The sequence below is a fragment of the Homo sapiens genome, chromosome 17 (assembly GCF_000001405.40).
Source record: "Homo sapiens chromosome 17, GRCh38.p14 Primary Assembly".
NCBI classification, from domain to species: domain Eukaryota; kingdom Metazoa; phylum Chordata; class Mammalia; order Primates; family Hominidae; genus Homo; species Homo sapiens.
In genome coordinates, this window is record NC_000017.11 from 69,271,340 (window position 1) to 69,291,446 (window position 20,107).

The window sequence follows — 20,107 nt, forward strand, 5'->3', positions numbered from 1 at the left end:
TTAGTAACACTGGGAAGATAATTCTATTTTTAGAGAAATATTTTATTTTCATTAGCGAATACGCAAGTAAGTACATTGGCTCTGAAGCCAGTCAGCCTGGTTTTAAAGTTGAGTTGTAACATTAAACTATTCGTCCTTCAAGCAAGTTACCTAGATGTTCTGGACCTTAAGTTCCCTCTTTTGTAAAGTGGGTAAAATAAGTATATCTGCCTTATAGGTAGAGTGATCATCCTGAGAATTAAATGACTGAATATATACACAGAGTTTAGAACCTGACACATAGTAACTGCGCATATTTTAGCTGCTGCTGCTGCTGCTGCCACCACTGCTGCTGCTGCTACAACTATTATTAACATTGAAAAGTTAACCTATAACACATGAAATTTGGTTAAATAATAAGAATAAAAATCTATCTGACAATTTTAGGTAACAAGATAACCTGCTAAGTTCAGAAAGGTATAGGTGTGGTAACATCACTCCCTAGAGAATTTTTTGTAGGCTCTGGGCAGACATGTCAATTGCCTTAACTACCTTAAAATATTCAAACACATAATCACATCTCTACATTCTCTAAAGTACCTGGAGCCAAGAGTAAGATTTTAAATCCTGTCGGGATTTAAATCTATACCAACATGTCTGCCGAATAGATGCAGTTTCTCCTCCATCATAACAAAAATCAGGATTCAGGGAAGGACAAATGTGACTTTAGAGAGAAATTTAAATCAAACAAAGCAAAACATTACTAGTAACTGAATAGTATGGCAGGGTGGATCAGACACAGCACTAGATCTCAGTGTCATAGAGAATGGTGACACTACTTTACTCCCAACCTAGTACCTTAACTGATCTCTTATCTCTAACTTGCAAGACCAGCTATGTACCCTGAGAAGAGAGACACATTATAAGTGAAGGAACCACAGCACAAGAGATACAAAAAGCTCTGCAAGGTGGGTAAGATACCACCCAATATATATACACACAGAGGCCAGTGGTTCAAAAAAAAGTGGTTTTATTTTGGAACACACACAAGGCTTAGGAAAATATGGCATGCATAAGCAAGCAACTCTAAGAATAATAAAAAATTAAGAGACAAACTGAAAATACTAGAATTTCTGCAGATCAATGAGAATTAACTCAAAGCAAAAAGATATGATTTGAATCCAAGTTCCTTTAAAAAAAAAAGAAATATTTGAGATACATGTACAATTCCCTGGACACATATAAAAAATGTCAAGATTAGCACAGTGTAAGGATTATATATTAGCAATATAAAATGTATTTTAAAACCAAAACGAGAATTCATAATGAAATTTCCTAATGAAAGAAAAAAAATTGCAAAACCTAACATTTTCCATTCGAGTAATTTTCCATTAATTTTCCATGCTCCAGGTAATTTTCCATGTTCTCACTCATTTATCCATCAATAAATACATCTTTACCAGAAAGAATGAAGGTTATGTAATATAACACGCACCAGATTTTAACAGTGATTATTTTAATACTAATTTATAATCATTCCTAGCCATGCTTATTATTTTAATACTGGGCAAAGTCTTTTTTGAATTAGTGAATCAAAAAGGAATGATACTAGAATGTAGGTGAAGTGTTAGAAAGGTTAAACCCCAAAGAGTCTGCTACAGAATAGGAGATGTTATAGGAACAACTGATCACATATGAATAAAGTTTGTATTAGCTTTTAATATTTTGAAAATCAGAACACTATGTCAGTTTTTTGTTTTGAGCTTTGCTCAAGTCTGTATGTTTAAATTTTTTTCATATTTGACAACTACATGGTAAGAATACTAATAGCAAAGCCAAAAATATCCATTACAAATCTAATATATTCAATTAGAGATATTTATATTTAAGTCTTATTTTTCTTAGTTTTAACTAATTCTTCAGACTGTCCTTGAAGAATTAAAACACTTCTATGCAGACACATACCTGTATAAATATTATGTACTACAACTCTTTGTAAAGAGGGTTTTTCAACTTTTGAAGTATATTTTGCTCATCATGGACTTATCAGCATAAAACATGCTAGTAAGAATAACGTTATTATTAAAAAAGGAAATTCTACTATTATACAAAGTATAAATTTTTTTAACTATTTATTTATTTATTTATTTATTTTGAGGCAGAGTCTCCCTCTGTTGCCCAGACTGGAATGCAGTGGTGCAATCTCGGCTCACTGCAACCTCCGCCTCCCGGGTTCAAGCGATTCTCCTGCCTCAGCCTCCCGAGTACCTGAGACTACAGGCGCGTGCCACCATGCCTGGCTAATTTTTATATTTTTAGTAGAGACGGGGTTTCACCGTGTTAGCCAGGATGGTCTCGATCCCCTGACCTCAGGTGATCCACCCGCCTTGGCCTCCCAAAGTGCTGGGATTACAGGTGGGAGCCATCGCACCTGGCCAAAACTGTCATTTATTTGTAAACCAAAATTTACTGTAATATATTCTTCAGCATCAATAAGATACGTATTGAACTATAATTTAGATTTCATGCAGACAGACCATGCCTTTACCTTAAATATAGTTTTAAAATCCAGACCTTTATCCACCCCTCAACCCCATGCTCCATGCCAACACTCGTTCACAGACCTTCACACACTCTCACCAGCAGAATTTTGAAGAAGCAGACTTGTTTTGTATTTATGTGGTTTGTCTCCAGGTTTTAGAAAATATAAGTCTGGAACAAGTTTGATGGGAACCACAGCATTTTTAAAAGAGTGATGAACCAAAAACATAAAAATCTGAACTGTGAAAAAAATTAAAAGCAGAAGCAACCTGAAAAGAAAAAAAAAACAACACAGCTCAGGGTACAAAGGTACATTAATATGAAAATCAATTAAAACTCTCCCTTCACATTGATATGGACTTTTTTTGTTTTTATTTGAGACAGGGTCTGGTTCTGTCACCCAGGCTGGAGTGTAATGGCATGATCTCAGCTCACTGTAACCTCCACCTCCCAGGCTCAAGCAATCTTCTCCCCTCACCATCCCAAATAGCTGAGACTACAGGCACACGCCACCATACACAACTAATTTTTGTTATTTTTTATAGAGATGGGGTTTCGCCATGTTGCCAAGGCTGGTCTCAAACTCCTGAGCTCAAACAAGGAGCTTGCCTGCCTCAGCCTCCCAAAGTGCTGGGATTGCAGGTGTGAGCCACCTTGACCAGCCTACATTGGTATAGATTTAAACTCTAGATAGTTAAAAGATAATCACTGAAAAAAACAAAGAAAAAAAACTGAAAAAAAAAAATAAGAAATCGTATTCCCCAAAATGATCTTATGACAATACTGGAGAGAAAGCCAATACTGTACGACAAAATTAAAAGTTATAAAAGTGTATTTTAGATCAGTGATGCCCTTAAATTTTTCTAAGAGTATGTAAACACGTAGTTATAACTGTTAAAACACAAGACATTATGTCTCAAATATTTGTCTCTACTCCTGAAGGAATTACTTCCTGTCCTGTCTCTATCTTAACCATTTACTTTTTTTTTTTTTTTTTTTTTTGAGATGGAGTCTTGCTCTGTCACCCAGGCTGGAGTGCAGTGGTGTGATCTCGGCTCACTGCAACCTCTGCCTCCCAGGTTCAAACGATTGTCATGCCTCAGCCTCCCAAGTAGGTGGGACGACTGGCATGTGCCACTGTACCCGGCTAATTTTTGTATTTTTAGTAGAGACAGGGTTTTGCCATGTTGGCCAGACTGGTCTCAAACTCCTGGCCTCAAGTGATCCAGCTGCTGCAGCCTTCCAAAGTGCTGGGATTTCAGGTGTGAGCCACTGCACCCAGCCCCATTTACTTTTCACGTAACAAGAAAAATATTTTAGATATAGAGAAGCAAATAAAAATACAATTAAACTCTGAATGGCTGATATCTTTGAAATCTCATCCTAATCGCAATTTTATCATATTAATTGCCACTGCTGCTCTCAGGAGGCAAAGCAAGGTATACTACAATGCCCTTTTATCTGAAGAGCAGCTACTTATCTGATAAAATATCTATATATCACATGTAATAAGTGTCCTAACAAGCAGTTGGAGAGCTTAGATTATCATACTTCAGCAATTTATAAATTTCACATACCCCGTAATTTTTTTAAAAAAATTCTTAAATTGTTATATCTAAGATTTCAAAAGCATATGGCATTGATCAAGTTCCATAATAAGTTAAGAAGTGATTTAGGTTAAAAAATATTCACAATTAAATAATATTTGGAAACATGAGGTTAAACAAAGTTGAAGGAATTTCTTTACCAGAGAACATCTCATGTTTTTTATGCTAATGAATAACTCTTTAATATAGGGAATATAAGAGTAATATTTTCTAAATGTATTTGACCATGGAACACATTTTGTTATGGATTGAATGTTTGTGCCTCCCCAAATTTGTATGTTGAAGCCCTAACTCCCATATGATGGTATTTGGAAATGGGACTTCGGAAAGGTAATCTGCATCAGATGGCATCATGAGGGTGGGGTCCCCATGATGGGATTAGTACATTTATAAAGAGACACCAGAGGGTGCATGCCAGTGTACATGAAGAGGTCATATGAGCACACAGTGAGATGGTGGCCTTCTGCAAGCCAGGAAGACAGCCATCACCATGCTGGCACCCTGATCTCAGAACTGCAGCCATCAGAATTGTGAGAAAATAATACTCTGTTTAAGTCACCCAGTAAATGGTATTTTGTCATGGCAGTCAAAGCTGACTAAGGTATTTTAATTTTCTTTTTTTGGGGGGGCGGGGGGGCAGGGACGGAGTCTCACTCTGTTGCCAGGCTGGAGTGCAGTGGCACGATCTTGGCTCACTGCAACCTCCGCTTCCCGAGTTCAGGCAATTCTCCTGCCTCAGCCTCTCAAGTAGCTGAGACTACAGGCGCCCACCACCACACCCAGCTAATTTTTTTATATTTTTAGTAGAGACGGAGTTTCACCATGTTGGCCAGGATGGCCTTGATCTCCTGACCTTGTGATCCGCCTGCCTTGGCCTCCCAAAGTGCTGGGATTACAAGCTTGAGCCACCGAGCCCAGATGGTATTTTAATTATTTTTCTGAGTGTATTTTATGAGAGTGGTGTTTAGAAAATGTGGCACATATACACCATGGAATACTATGCAGCCATAAAAAAGGATGAGTTCATGTCCTTTGAAGGTACATGGATGAAGCTGGAAACCATCATTCTCAGCAAACTAACACAGGAACAGAAAACCAAACACCACATGTTCTCACTCATAAGTGGGAGCTGAACAACGAGAACACATGGACACAAGGAGGGGAACATCACACACCGGGGCCTGTTGGAGGGTTGGGACTGGGGAGGGATAGCATTAGGATAAATACCTAACGTAGTGATAGGTTGATGAGTGTAGCAAACCACCATGGCACATGCATACCTATGTAACAAACCTGCAAGTTCTGCACATATATCCCAGAACTTAAAGTATAAAAAAATAATAAAATAAATTGAAACATGCTGATTTAAATAAACATTTTTCTTTCAGTAATGCCGACCAGGGAATAAATCAGATACGTGATTGACATTTGTTTGACACTGAATTTGGTCAAAGAAGAGCATATAAATTTAGCATATTCCAAACATATAACAATATTCTTAATCTTAATGATTAAGCCTTATTACTACTGACATTTTGGACTTAACAAGATAGGTGTGTGGTATATGAAAGTGGTTAATGTTATTTCCAAATTATTCAGTTCCTAGTACCCTAGGAGAACCTAACTGAGAAGGGCTAAAGCTAACTTGAGATGTCATTTTGATCCCAGATCTACTAGCTATGTAGCCTTCTTTATTTTTCAGTTTCCTCATAGGATAAATAGAGGTAAAACTCATTTTTCCTGCTACTTACAAAAAGTGGTTATAAAAACTAACTAATAGACGCAAAAAATAGCGAAAAAATAGAAACGCAAAACAAAATTTAAGATACAATGGGGAGTGTATTAATATATTCAAGGAAACTTGAATCTGTGCTCCCAGGTGAAAGAAAGAAAAAGATACAATGACAGTAATTAAAAAATTATACAATTAGGGAATATTTGTTATTTCCTCACTTTATAGATGAGACAATAAATGCTAGTTTAAAAAGTGTAAGACAGGGTATTCGATGAAATTATTGTAATTTTTTTCTCTAACATTGTGAAATTACAGTGGTAATCTTTCGAAACTATATAAATTATTTACATATGTTAACATTTTAAAAATTAAGATGGTAAAACCAATGTGTATCCTTAAAAAGCAATCCATCAGGTATAAGGGTGATAATTATACTTACACTGATCTCACTGATTTACTTTCACGTTTCAAGGTAAAGAAATGAAACTTTGCTATTGTATACATCTGTTGTTTCCAAAGGCTCATGGTGCTCACTAGAGCAGCCTTGGTTTCAGAAAGAATAAGTAAGCTCTGTTCCATTTCATCAAAAGATTTTGAATCCATTTCTTCCTCCAGTGGCTGCTGAGTAAATACACTATAATCTATTTGCCAAAACAAAACAAACATTTCAGTATGTTCATTAAAAAAGATACAAACTTTCTGAAGCAGGAACATTTAAAGAAGCATTGGTCTGGCAGTTATGTGGAACAAATGGAACTCTCTTATATTCTGGCAGTATCTATTAAAGCTGAACATATGTATATCTTATGACCCAAGAGATCCCCAACAGGTATAAACCCAACAGAGATATGAATACAGGTTTCACCAAAACACATGTACAAGAACATGAGAATGTTCTTGTTCTACTAAGAACAAGAACACTATTCTATGGAATAGTGTAAACCAATGAAAATGAACAAACTACTGTACCCATAACAACATGGCTGAACTTCACAAATGTCATTTTGAGTGAAAGAGGACAGATGCAAAGGAGACACATGGTATAATTCCACTAGTTCAAAATCAAACTGGATACATATCCATATTTAAGATCTTATTATCTCTGTATCTGTATAATATCCAACTTTTATGTGAACTTTTCCTCTCTGACCACAACTTAGCATCATATCCTGATCATACACGAGACTTCTCTCTTATCACCATGTTTGAGAGTCCTCTCCTGGCTTTACATTACTTCTCAATTAAAATTTAGCCTCAGGCTCAGTTTTCAGCCAAATTCTGCCCTTCAACTTCATCTTTAGTCTTTGGAAGGTTTAAGAGCCAATGCCTACTTCAATATAATTTCCTGGGATTACTGAGGTTGTACATGATCAATGACAGTGTGATCATACAGATTATTAGCACAACACTTAAAAGGTATAACAAATTCAGTAGTGTGAATAAGGTATGTCATTCAGATTTCATTTTAATATTTAATATTCATTTAAATTACAGTTAAACATTCCAAATGTATTTGGAATAAAAATTTATTTACGTACTTTATGTTAAAATTCTAGCATATAAACAGAGCCAAAGACAAAAACCACATGATTATCTCAACAGATGCAGAAAAGGCCTTTGACAAAATTCAACAACCCTTCATGCTAAAAACTCTCAATAAATTAGGTATTGATGGGACATATCTCAAAATAATAAGAGCTATCTATGACAAACCCACAGCCAATATCATACTGAATGGGCAAAAACTGGAAGCATTCCCTTTGAAAACTGGCACAAGACAGGGATGCCCTCTCTCACCACTCCTATTCAACATAGTGTTGGAAGTTCTGGCCAGGGCAATTAGGCAGGAGAAGGAAATAAAGGGTATTCAATTAGGAAAAGAGGAAGTCAAATTGTCCCTGTTTGCAGATGACATGATTGTATATCTAGAAAACCCCATCGTCTCAGCCCAAAATCTCCTTCAGCTGATAGGCAACTTCAGCAAAGTCTCAGGATACAAAATCAATGTGCAAAAATCACAAGCATTCCTATACACCAACAACAGACAGAGAGCCAAATCATGAGTGAACTCCCATTCACAATTGCTTCAAAGAGAATAAAATACCTAGGAATCCAACTTACGAGGGATGTGAAGGACCTCTTCAAGGAGAACTACAAACTGCTGCTCAAGGAAATAAAAGAGGATACAAACAAATGGAAGAACATTCCATGCTCATGGGTAGGAAGAACCAATATCGTGAAAATGGCCATACTGCCCAAGGTAATTTACAGATTCAATGCCATCCCCATCAAGCTACCAATGCCTTTCTTCACAGAATTGGAAAAAACTACTTTAAAGTTCATATGGAACCAAAAAAGAGCCCGCATCGCCAAGTCAATCCTAAGCCAAAAGAACAAAGCTGGAGGCATCACGCTACCTGACTTCAAACTATACTACAAGGCCACAGTAACCAAAACAGCATGGTACTGGTACCAAAACAGAGATATAGATCAATGGAACAGAACAGAGCCCTCAGAAATAATGCCGCATATCTACAACTATCTGATCTTTGACAAACCTGAGAAAAACGAGCAATGGGGAAAGGATTCCCTATTTAATAAATGGTGCTGGGAAAACTAGCTAGCCATATGTAGAAAGCTGAAACTGGATCCCTTCCTTACACCTTGTACAAAAATCAATTCAAGATGGATTAAAGACTTAAACGTTAGACCTAAAACCATAAAAACCCTAGAAGAAAACCTAGGCATTACCATTCAGGACATAGGCATGGGGAAGGACTTCCTGTCTAAAACACCAAAAGCAATAGCAACAAAAGACAAAATTGACAAATGGGATCTAATTAAACTAAAGAGCTTCTGCACAGCAAAAGAAACTACCATCAGAGTGAACAGGCAACCTACAAAATGGGAGAAAATGTTCGCAACCTACTCATCTGACAAAGGGCTAATATCCAGAATCTACAATGAACTCAAACAAATTTACAAGAAAAAAACAAACAACCCCATCAAAAAGTGGGCAAAGGACATAAACAGACACTTCTCAAAAGAAGACATTTATGCAGCCAAAAGACACATGAAAAAACGCTCACCATCACTGGCCATTAGGGAAATGCAAATCAAAACCATAATGAGATACCATCTCACACCAGTTAGAATGGCAATCATTAAAAAGTCAGGAAACAACAGGTGCTGGAGAGGATATGGAGAAACAGGAACACTTTTACACTGTTGGTGGCACTGTAAACTAGTTCAACCATTGTGGAAGTCAGTGTGGCGATTCCTCAGGGATCTAGAACTAGAAATACCATTTGACCCAGCCATCCCATTACTGGGTATATACCCAAAGGACTATAAATCATGCTGCTATAAAGACACATGCACACATATGTTTATTGTGGCACTATTCACAATAGCAAAGACTTGGAACCAACCCAAATGTCCAACAATGATAGACTGGATTAAGAAAATGTGGCACATATACACCATGGAATACTATGCAGCCATAAAAAATGATGAGTTCATGTCCTTTGTAGGGACATGGATGAAATTGGAAATCATCATTCTCAGTAAACTATTGCAAGAACAAAAAACCAAACACCGCATATTCTCACTCATAGGTGGGAACTGAACAATGAGATCACATGGACACAGGAAGGGGAACATCACACTGGGCACTATTGTGGGGTTGGGGGAGCGGGGAGGGATAGCATTGGGAGATATACCTAATGCTAGATGATGAGTTAGTGGGTGCAGCACACCAGCATGGCACATGTATATGTATGTAACTAACCTGCACAATGTGCACATGTACTCTAAAACTTAAAGTATAATAATAAAAAAAAATAAAAATAAATAAATAAAAAAATAAAATTCTACCAATTAAACCATAAACATATATTTATTTAATGGCAAGAATAAAATACTACACAATTGAGGTTTATTTTAAACTCAAAAACATTCAGAACTTTCAACACAGAAAAATATTAACAGTTAATGCAAATATTAAAGAGAATGTACTAGTGAGATAACTTTAGGAAGAACATTATAACTTTTGGGCCAATACATGTATTTTTTAATTTAGATAATAATATAAAAAGAAATCAGATTATATAATATTAATTTTATGTAGTGGTTCAGTATATTAGTACTCAAGATATTAAAACAAATTTGGGAGACTTGCTTCTTTTTTTAGTTATTTAATTCCATTAAGGCCACGCACTTTCAATATAAAAGTTTTATTGTGGATTCTTCCACAATTTGTGAGGGTGAACTAAAAGCAGAATGCCCACTTCATCATTTAAAAATTTCAAAAGAAGGAGAAACTACAAAATCACATACATTAATTTTCAGATAAATCTTCTTTGATCCAGACATAATAACAAAAGAAAAATTAAGAACTCAAAAATATATGGCTTCTCCTCACTGCATTTGAAAGTGGGCATCTGGTATCATAAACGTAGGACTACAGGAGCAACTTTACAGTTAGCAATGCTGACAAATTATTGTTCCCACACAATAAGGCCAATCTTTTAAAATTTGACTACCAAACCATGAATAATTAAATTCTAGTAATATTTTAAGTTCCAGATTTATTTTAGCATAATATAAGCAAGTTTACTTCATGATGATATATTCAGCTTGATTCTTGACTTTGGTATCACAATGATTTTAATCATCACCCACTCGGCATTCATGCAAAATGTGTATTTGCAGCATCTCAACTCTTTTAACAACTGTGAACTAACATCCTGGTTTCCTTTGCTCTCCTCACCTGCCACTACAAACATTTTGCTAACCTTCGATCATAAGAAAGTTTCCTCAACTCATGTTCTTACCGTAAACTGAATAGATCCACCTTGCTCCTTACTGCATCATGAAATTGATCTGTCAAGATCACCACTCTTACAGTCTACCAAATCCCTCACCGTCCTCTGTTACCAAAACTACCTTTTTTGTCCTCATCTTATTCTTCACAGCAATTGACAAATAACTGACCACTTCCTCTTTCCTAAACACCATTTTTCTAGGTTTTTCCATTTCCACTCTTTCATGAAAAAGTAGAGTAATAATTGCTCATTCACGGTCAGCCCTCTTGGCTCCTTCTCCACTGCTCACCCAGGAGGCTTGCCCCTCAATTCTTATCTACACTCCTTACCCAACTAAGAGATTTCATCCAATTCCATAGCACCATCTACCTGTGAGTAACTTCCAAATCTGTATCTTCAGCCGTAACATCTTCATTTAACTCCAGATGCATCTCAAACAATATACTCAAAATTCATGCCTCGGCCGGGCGCAGTGGCTTACACCTGTAATCCTAGCACTTTGGGAGGCCAAGGCGGGCGGATCACCTGAGGTCAGTTCAAGACCAGCCTGGCCAACATGGCAAAACCCTGTCTCTACTAAAAAATACAACAACTAGCTGGGCGTGGTGGTGGGCGCCTGTAATCCCAGCTGTTTGGGAGGCTGAGGCAGCAGGAGAATCACTTGGACTTGGGAGGCGGAGGTTGCAGTGAGCCGGGATGGTGCCACTGCACTCCAGCCTGGGTGACAGAGCAAGACTCAAAAAAAAAAAAAAAAAAGGAAAAAACTCATGCCTGCATTCCTTCTTTCCACAAACCTATTCTTCCCCTATTTTCAGGAAATGGCAATCTCATTCCCAGTTATCAAAAGCTTAGGAATTATTCTTCATTCCAACTTCTCCTGAGCCTCTAACACTCAATCTATCAGCAACTCATCACCACTACCACCAGTATAACCCAAATATCTGTTCTTTCCCTTTTTTTTTTTTTTTTTTTTTTTTTAAACAGGGTCTCCTTCTGATGCCCAGGCTAGAGTGCAGTGGTGCAATCATGGCTCACTGCAGCCTTGACCTCCTGGCCTCAGGTGATTCTCCCACCGCAGCCTCTAGAGTAGTTGGGACTATAGGCACACACTACCATACCTGGCTAATTTTTGTGTTTTTTGTGACAAGGTTTTGCCATGTTGCCAAGACTGGTCTGGAACTCCTGGGCTCAAGCGATCTCCCTGCCTTGGCCTCCCAAAGTGCTGGGATTATAGGCATGAACCACTGCGCCCGGCCTCCCTATTTTCACTGACACCCTAGTTCAAGATAGTATTAACTATAGCAGTTTCCTAACTGGTCTTCCTACTTCCACACTTCCTTTATAATACTCTTATCATTCAACAACCAGAACGTGTTTTTTTAAAAATTCAAATCAGATCATGGTACCTATTTGCTTTAAAACTCTCTGATAGCTTCCACACTACAATAGGAAAACAAATGAAATTGTTTTCCAGACGTTCAAAGGCAGAACATGATCTATCCCTTTGAGTATCCTCCTGACTTTGCTGTGTAATAGCTTCACTATGGCTCCGGCCATGGTAGCCTTTTTTTATCCCTCAAAGACATCCAACTCATTCCTCAGTTAATACCTTTGCAGTTGCAGTTCTTTATCTGAAAATTTCTGCCCTAAAATCTTCACCTACTTGATTTTTCTCATTATACAGGCCTCAGGTCAAGTATCATCTCAACAAAGTCCTTCCTGATGATATAATCTAAGTTCGCTGCCTTCTAAGACCACCCCATTATTTCCTGCATTACTCCTATCACTATCAGTATCTCATTACTTATTTACTTATTTCTACCCTTTATTCTAAAAAAAATATAAAATTACATTTATATAATTTTTGTCTTATTCACCATCTGTCTGATTCATTGCCTAAAATGTTTTGTTAGTTCTGTTTTTACCTGCTTGGTCAATTTCTGCTTCAACTTCTAGCTTTAAAAATACGTCTTCCAAAGTCGTCATGGAAACACCATAAGAAATGACACCCAAATTTGAATGACTGTCTAGGGCAGAAAACAAACCTAAAAGAAAAAAATGAAAGAATAGTATATCTTTAAGCATATTATCATAAATTATTGTAAAATATCCTTTAAAAATAAGTTCATGAACAGCCTGTGAAACATATCATGACCCATCTCTACAAAAAATAAAAATAAATTAGCTAGGCATAAATACTGATGCAAGCCTGTAGTCTTAGCTACTCAGGAGACTCAGGTGGGAGGATCACTTGAGCCCAGGAGTTTGAGGCTGCAGTGAGCTGTGATTGTGGCACTGAACTCCAGCCTAAGTAACAGGCTTAACATTCTTATAAATTAAGGACCTCAAAGAAATTTTATATATGGGAATATATCTATTATCATATCTATTACCATATTATATCTATATCATATTATAAACTAACAAAAATTTTACAGTATTTGAAATTAAAACTGAGAATGTTACTATATTGAATAATAAAATAAATATGTACATTAGAAAACATACAGTAATCATTTAAATACTTATTCATCTTTTAAAAAATAAAAAAGTAAACCTATTACGGGTTAACACAATTTTATTTTTAAAAACTGCATCTTTTAAAACAAAAATAATGAGAAGAGAATATTGTTTTACATTTCTGCAAATCTCTTTAATGTCTGTCTTAACAGAAGACAGATGGGTTCTCATATTTGTTTCTGTATTCAATCTGTTGTGATAGCACATATTATGCAGTCTCTGGAAAACACTGTATAATCATGAGAAGCTGAGGGTCAATAAGGCAAATAACATTTTGGTATTATTAGAAAAAGTGCTGACATTATGAATTCCCTTAAGAGGTCTTACGGTCCATCCTACAGGAGATCCCAGAAGACACTGTGAAATCCAGTGAAATACCGTGACAATTTTTCAAAGAAATGTAAGAGTCAACAACAAAGTATGGTGGTGAAAACCATGAGTTCTGGAACTGATTTGCCTGGGTTCAAAACTCAGCTCCACCACTTTCTACCTGTGTTACCTTGGGCAAGTTCCTTAAATCTTTTTATGTCTCAGTTTCTTCATTTGTAAAATGAAAGCAATAATAGTATTTATCTCATGTATTTCTTGAAATATTGGGATAATGAAATAAACTAATAATTGCAAAAGGCACAGACCAGCATCTGGTAGAAAATAAGCACATATAAATGTTACTAAAGAATAGGAGATAGGTGGGTATAAGTAGATAGAATGATAGGCAGAGTGCATTAAGTTGGCAAGTGTACTTCAGTCCACTTAATTTGTGATTTCTTTTTAAAAAAAAAACAAGTATTTTTCTGATTATGAGATAAATGCTATGAAAATTCTGCACAATGTACTTACATCAATAACATCCTTTTGTCTATCAAGCAATTCCTAAACAGAGGAAGGAGACTGAGTTTGAGTTCCTCATTAAAAAATTAAAAAATAATGCCTCAATTAAAAGAATTCAAGGATTTATCATATAATTCATTATGAAATCATGAAACTATAAAAGAACCTGAGAATGTATATAAACTATATACATATATGCCTTACTCTCAGGAGGCCTACAAGCAATTTCTTTTTTTTCTTGACAACAAAGTAAACACAATTATTTTTACGTTTTTTAACATTTTCTTAAGTATTTAATATATTAGTTACAGTTTCTTGCATGGTGTTTGTAAAAAAAAAAATTTTGCTGTGTTTTTTCTGGCTTTCAAAAACAAAATAAAGCAGAAACAGAATATTAACTCTGGCCACCTGGGAGCATGGCAATACTACATGGAGAAGGAAACAAAAAGGAAATCAATGAAACCTATTCCCAATATAGGATCCCAGTTCAAACACCAAGAGACTTAAAGTAAGTAATACCTGAAAATTTGTCCATGTCCTTGAAAGGCAAGCTATACACAAGTTGTTGGTCATTCTGTTGTAATAAAGTAGCTCCAGGTATATGTTGTTTAACCAGTGAAGAAAGAGATTCTGTGGCACAATATTTGTCTATGTACATGCTAGAGAATACCAAAAATCACAATTAATGATTATACAATAAACAGCCAAAAGTAAATTATGAAGGCTTTAAATTAAATTTAGTACCATAAATGATGGTCAAAGCATATAACAGCAAGCCTCCAACATAATAACAGTATAGCAAGAGTATAATATAGAATAATGTCAATAAAAATGAATGATACCTCAGGCGGTAGCCGATCCCCCATTTACTTTTGAGGAACATTGAAGAACCAACACATTTCAGCATTCCTTGTGATATCACAGCTTTCCTATCTGCAGATAAATATTTACATTTCAATTTCTAAAGTATCAACAGCATTAATAATTGGCATTTACATTTTATGGTTTCTCATATGAGAGTCATCCACATTATGATATCATTAATCATCACAAAAAGTCTTATGAGGATGGTACTAGATTATCATCAACTATTTTTCAGATATGAATACTAAGGTAAAAAGAAAATACATTCCTTATATATGTTTCATACAGCTATTAAGTAACAAAGCCAGGAACTCTACTCAAGGAGTCTGACTCTAGAGTCTACTTACCATATGTTATTCCAAATATATTTTTCCTAAAAGGCTTACCAATACAAGCACTTTCACAATTTCCTTTATAACCAAATGTAGAAACAACTCCAAAAATCAACAAAAGTAATAAGAAGAACAAATGTTAGTTTGTTGGGTTTTTAAAAATAAAGGTACTACTGAAGACATGAATGACTTGCCCAATTTTATTAGATTATATTATAAGCAGACAGAAGTTGCTCAAGAATTTCAAACTTCTATATCTGTCATAGCTATTAAAAGTCATGTGTTGACTTCAACTTGGATTCTTTATATGTATGTATGTGTATAAAATTGTGCAGAAAAGAGTTAACATAGCAGGTCAGAGGCTTCTATCCTTAGAAAGGCCTGCTTACAAGGTTGGCCCTTGGCTGTTAGTTGAGAACTTGGATTTGGGAGGGTTCCTACTATTCTCAAAACAGGTAAGAGTGGCTCAGTGCCTAAACTGTACAAACAATGTGGTTTATGCCAAACAACTTCTTTCCTTCTGAGAATCTGGAACTTTGGTATGTGCTAGGCAGAAGATGTTTATGTGATCAGCACCCAATAAGAATCTTGAACACTGAGTATATACTAACTTTCCCAAGTAGATATTTCACACATGTTGTTACAACTCAATGCTGAAGAAATTAAAGCACATCTGTCTACTCCACTGGGAGTAGGACTCTTGGAAGCTTCTACCTGGTTTCCTCGAGACTTTGCCTCATATACCTTTTCCCTTTGCTAACTTAGCTTTGTATCCTTTTGCTGTAATAAATCATAGTCATGAGTATGACTATGTGCTGAGTCATATGAGTTCTTCTAGGACATCACTAAACCTGGGATGGTCTTGGAGATTCTCAACACAAAAATGTATCATTTTAAAATTTTTTAGAACTTTTTTTGTGAAGGAAACATACCACTAGGTAAAAGCTTCTCTATTTATACCTCAGGAATTAGCATCTCTATATCCATCTTCCTTTTGGCCCATGATCTCAGCCTTCGAAAATAAAACAAAAATCTCACCTGCAAGAATGTCAGCTTCATCCATGAAATGAGTACTGAACACTGTCACCCGATTGGCTTTTCTGTATTTTAAAAGATTCCATACAATATGTCGAGAACAGGGGTCCATTCCAGCTGTTGGTTCATCTAGCAGCAGTATCTGTGTGAAAAGAGGTGAAGAAGGGCAGGGAATCCTCAGAAAAACTAAATATTAAACAGGCATGTGGACACTAAAAAACTGCCCCATTTCAAATTATTATTTTCAATCAGAAATATATTAGATCAGATTTTTTCATTCATAATTGAGTTCACATAAATTTTTAAAATTATAAATTTGACATGTGAATATTTTCCCAGGTTTAATTCTAAAAGACTGCCTGTAATACACAAGACAAAAGTATAACAACAGTCAGACAAACAAACTAAAAACAAAACATTAAGTATATTGCTATTATCCTTAACAATTAAATTTGTAGATGTAACACTTGCTTTTTTGGAGAAGAATATATGGTTTTATAGTAGTTCAAGGGAAGCAATTTGTTTCAAGACTATTTTTAATATAAAAAAGAACATGGTGGTGGTGGCTGAGAGGAAGACTAATGAACATAAAGCCAGGATCCAGAATCATTCCCCAGCTGCAACAGCAAGGGGGAATGTGGCAGGATGGTGGGGATCAATAGGAGATCATCCTAGCTGCATGCATGCACCTGTCAGTTTTGATGCCCTGTGTAAAGTGGTACATCAGTTGTTTCTCTGTTTCTATGACAGAGAACAGCATAAAACAAATACATACAAAATCAAAGCAGGACAGTGATAAACTGAATCACTCCTTTGATTTTGTTCTATTTCTTAACTTTTGTTATTAACTATAACAAATATTTTTTAAACTATAGAGAACAAGAGAGTAATACTATTATAGCTACCATTCCAATTCAGCAATGTTATTTTTTGGCCACATTTTCTTCAGATCATTTTTTAAAGAAATAAAACATGGAGGCCAGGCGTGGTGGCTCATGCCTGTAATCCCAACACTTTGGAAGGCAAAGGCGGGAGGATCGCTTGAGGCCAGTTCAAGACCAGCCTGGGCAACATAGCAAGGTCTCGTCTCTACAAATTAAAAAAAAAAAGAAGAAAGAAAGAAAGAAAGAAAGAAAGAAAGAAAACATGGCAGTCATAACTAAAGTCTATTCTTCCATTCTCCTTCCTAAAAGTAACCAGTTATCATAAAGATGTTATAACTCAGAAAGGAAAGGGTGGAAGGGGGTGAGGAATAAAAAAAACTACATATTGAGTACCATGTACAGTACTCAGGAGATGGGTGCACTAAAACCTCAGAATTTACCACTATATAATTCATCCATGTAACCAAAAACCTTTAGTACCTTGACAGCTACTAAAATTAAAAAAAGTTATACATCTTTCTGACTTCACTTTTAAAATCTCATTACTATGATTATATCCATAATAACATACAGCATTTTATGTACACTTAACCTTTACATAATGTATTATATCTTTCTACAACCTGCTTTTTAATTCGACATAATTTAAAATGAGCTCATCTGTAAAAGTAATATTTATTTACCTTTGGGTTCCCAAGAACAGCAATTCCTAATGACAGCTTTCTTTTTTGACCACCACTTAATTTTTTAGCTTGGTTATCTTTGATAGTCTGCATGTCTAAATCTAGTAAAACCTTCTGCACCTGTAAAAGTAAAGCATGAACAATGTTATTTTAAAAATCATACCATTTATATAATTATCAATATTACTTTTTAAATATTTTAAGTTTTAATGTGTTAGATATTTAAGTAACATAGGTTTTTAAATAATTTTAATATCAACTTTAAAAATGATCCTTTAGCATGGAACTGCCTTTGACATATACTCATATATAATTATGAAAACAACAGGTAACAAGATTCTTGAGGGAAAGGTTTTAATTTTGTGCCTTCTTGGGTGGTAGGGAAGGAATAAGAGATCACTGTGATGGCTCTTAATGTATGTGTGGAAGTGGGAGGGGGTAGAGGAGATGAGAGCAAGAGAAGGCAGGAATAAGGCAGGCAAGCATCCTCCAGATGAAACAAACTTTTATGTGTGCTAAAACATTTACTCCAAATTCTGTCTAATTCTTTGTAATAGCTTTCTGTTTGCTGGCTCAGAACAAGTGTTATATTTAGATTTTCAAGCATATTTTTATTGCACAAGTCATTACAAAAGGTTATTGATTACAGGAAATAAAAGTAAAGATTTCTATATGAATAGCATACTTCTTGTATTATATTGTTGGCTGGTATCCCTTTGATTGAAGCCAAAATTGATAAATTTTCTTCTACTGTCAAAACATCAAAGTGTATATCTAACTGTGGACAAATGCCAATCATTTTTCTTGCTTCAAACATTTCATCTATTTCTGAGACTCTGTGTCCATATATAGATGCAAACCCTAAAAGCAAAATATATATTTAAATGTACATTAATTATTTTATAATGTGTATGTTTTCAAGTATCCTGATAACTTAGTTATTTGGTTATAACAGACATATAAGGTAAAAATTAATATAAATTTACAAGGCACAACACACCCTTCAATATTATTGGTGATCCGCATCCACTTATATTTCAATCTCATTTTCCATCACTTACAGGTCATATAACATAGTGGGAAAAGCAAGAAAGTAAAAGCTTGACACTAAACATAAATATCTATTGATACACTATTTACACTTGTATTCCAGTAACAATTTTCTAGACACTGTGCAATAGTGGAGGGATTAAAGAACTATAAATTTTATCCTAACTAGCTGTGTGGTCATGGCCAAATTACTTAATCTCTTTAAATTCCAGCTTTCCTTTTTTATACAGTGAACACTAATATATTCATTGTTTTAATAGTGAAAATTAAAACAATCATACATTATGAAGAATCATGAGGAAAAATCATAAATTCTTATACAAATGTAAGATATTATGACTACCATCAAAGAGTGATACAACTAAGGACAAAGAACAAAATCAAACTAATTTTAAAAGTTAAATAACATTTAAAGAGTTGAAATGCAGATTCAATACAATTCAGCCCTTTTGTAAAGTAAAATATTTATTGTACTGCCACTCTATTTGGTTACTGTCATAATATGGAGCTACTATAATGAATTCTCACCTACCAAACAATCACATATCAAAATTATACTTTTGAGGTATGCCTTTAAAATTCTATTTTAGAAGATAGTATGAACATTTACAATTATTTCCTGCTGAACTATTGCTGTATATTTAGATATTTGTGTTTATTTTCTCAACCTCAAATAGTCTATAGTTCTGATTTAATTTCCAATAAGTTACTCATTTATCCTCCCTTGAAAATGATGAATAAAAACACATACATACACATCTACGTGTGTATATGTATAGAAATATGTACAAAATTAGATCCTTTTTACTTTATTAAACATGATAGAATCATTTTTATCTTCTACTAAAAACAACCACATGTGTATAATCAAGAAAAAAAGAAAACACCTTTACAGATACAGAAGTTGGTCCCATTGACAAAAATTATTCAATACACATTTAAAGAATATATATAATGAAGTTTTTTTTTCTTTAAGACAGAAAACTCACCATCAGAAGGTGGGCAGAGTCCACAAAGAATATTCATCAATGTACTCTTTCCTGTTCCACTGTGGCCAAGTAAGGCAGTAATCTGACCCTCATATATGTCAAATGACAAATCTAGTTCAGGAAAAAAGAAGACTCAAATGTAATTTTTATGTCTGTTCAGCTATGCATGATAATTCATAATATTTGAGCAATCTTCAAGGCACTATATCTATAAATACATATTTAAAGTTA

General features: G+C 35.0%; 1 protein-coding gene across 2 annotated transcripts in view; it reads right to left on the reverse strand.

The window, feature by feature from the left end:
- Positions 1-20,107, reverse strand: part of ABCA5 (ATP binding cassette subfamily A member 5) — an 82,823-nt gene that overhangs the window by 27,029 nt on the left and 35,687 nt on the right. For both annotated transcript variants that reach the window (NM_172232.4, NM_018672.5), the window contains 9 exons: positions 19,877-19,987; positions 18,523-18,698; positions 17,838-17,957; positions 16,274-16,412; positions 14,882-14,972; positions 14,559-14,698; positions 12,614-12,733; positions 6,302-6,503; positions 2,620-2,789 (listed from right to left, as the gene is read on the reverse strand). In NM_172232.4, coding sequence (NP_758424.1) covers positions 2,620-2,789; positions 6,302-6,503; positions 12,614-12,733; positions 14,559-14,698; positions 14,882-14,972; positions 16,274-16,412; positions 17,838-17,957; positions 18,523-18,698; positions 19,877-19,987 — 1,269 coding nt within the window. The remainder of the gene's footprint in view (positions 1-2,619; positions 2,790-6,301; positions 6,504-12,613; positions 12,734-14,558; positions 14,699-14,881; positions 14,973-16,273; positions 16,413-17,837; positions 17,958-18,522; positions 18,699-19,876; positions 19,988-20,107) is intronic.